Source organism: Homo sapiens, chromosome 9, assembly GCF_000001405.40.
Source record: "Homo sapiens chromosome 9, GRCh38.p14 Primary Assembly".
NCBI lineage: Eukaryota > Metazoa > Chordata > Mammalia > Primates > Hominidae > Homo > Homo sapiens.
In genome coordinates this window covers 119,086,318-119,088,067 of record NC_000009.12, presented here as the reverse complement: position 1 = coordinate 119,088,067, position 1,750 = coordinate 119,086,318, and the positions used below count along the sequence as shown (strand labels likewise).

The 1,750-nt window shown below is 35.1% G+C and overlaps 1 annotated feature.

Moving 5' to 3' along the window:
- Positions 608–1,544: an enhancer, noted in NCBI's record as "NANOG hESC enhancer chr9:121848802-121849738 (GRCh37/hg19 assembly coordinates)". NCBI's record gives its function as "activates a minimal SCP1, AML or CMV promoter by ChIP-STARR-seq in primed H9 embryonic stem cells {active_cell/tissue: H9 hESC(primed)}" and the evidence as "EXISTENCE:reporter gene assay evidence [ECO:0000049][PMID:30033119]".

Here is a 1,750-nt window from a genome sequence, read left to right as displayed (position 1 = left end):
CCCTTAAAAATGTCATGCAAATGTTTCAAAAGATAGGCTCCAGCTTTTTCTGTTCTTGATACTCAAAACATGTCAAGCCATGCCCCATTATGAAGGCCAAAGCAGTTTGAGCTCTATGGATGTGTCACAAATTGGGAACAAAGAAGTTTATAATCTTGGTAGTCTCATAGTCTTTTTTTTGTTTTTTAAAGTTTTACTTTTCCGCTCTAAAAACGAATCTAATCATTATTTAAAAATTGAAAAAAAATCCTGAAAATAAGAAAAGGAAGAAAACATAATATACATAATAATGGCACCTAAAGGTAACCACTTTGAATGTCATCACATATTCGTTACAAGTAGAATAGATTCTTTCAAGTTTGGCTTTTATAATAATATGATAATACTTATTTGTAATTTTATATTCTGATTCTTTTAATTTATCCTTTCCATGTACCAGCTCTCCTTATTACACTATCTTCATAAACATAACTGAAATGGCTGCATATTATTCCCCTGATGAGAGGTATCAACTTCCTTAAGTATTCCCTTAATTTTTACATCTCTAGGTTTGTTTTTCAATTTCTTATTATAACAAGTAATTCTGTGATTGGCCACTTTGCCAATAAAGCTTCCATTCCAGCAGGAGGCAACAGATTACAAATAGGAAACATAAAATAAATAAATAAGTAAATAAATAAATAAATAAATACATGGCATATTACATTAGGAATTAAGGAGATAGGAAGTAACAATGGGCCAATGGTCATTTTAAAATAGTGGTCAGGGTAGGCCTCGCTAAAAACAAAGACTGAAAGGAGATATTCTCGCTGAGAACAAAAGACTAAAAGGATATAGCCATGCATAAATGTAGGGAAGATCCATCCAGGAAGGAGGAATACAGAATGCAAAGGCTTTGAGGTAGAAGAATTAGAATGTGAAGACAAACATAATTTAAGATAATTGTGCAAAGTCACATAGATAGAAGGTCTTGACAAAATAGTTTTAGGACCTAGATTGCTAGGATTCCATGTAGTGTGTCTAAGTTTTCAAACCTGAAAGCATCAGATGATAGAGCAAAACCAAGAAGACCATAATATTCCCCTTAGGGCAACTCAACTTTACACAAGATTTTCTGATTATAAGTCCCTGACCTCCCTTTTCTTATAGCATTTACTTTAGGAAACTTTCAATTGTTATTCTTTCTCTACCCCTTTGGGATGTAAATCTTCTCCCAGCCTCTTGCAAGATTTGCAATCTAGAAAGGACTTTCTCAAGGACCTGGGAGTCATTCTTTAAAATACTGTCAAAGGAGATAATGCCTCTATCTCCCAATGGCTGTGGGTAGGGAGGAGCCTAACTTTATAAGCATCAATTAGCAAGCACAGATGGCCAACCTCCCCACTAACATCATCCAGTACCTTTCCACTAGCTTAAATTGGCTCTTAAAAATACTCCGCCTTTTGTTTCAGTGAAGTTTCATCTCCCCTATTGCAAGTCTTAACCTCTATTGCAATAGTCTTGAATAAAGGCTTCCCTGCCTGTGTAACTCAATCTGGTGCAATCTTTCTTTGACAAGTGTAGTCTAACATTTCTCAAAATGTCTTCCTTGGAACTCTGGTCCTCAGTATAAGTCTGCAAGTGTTCATCTTAACAATCATAACACACACCAAATTATTTAAGGCTATATCCCCATAGTTCCACAGCTGCATAGACCCAAAACCTAAGAAGCATTTTTTCACTTTTTCCTCCCATTTCACCTTCCATCAGC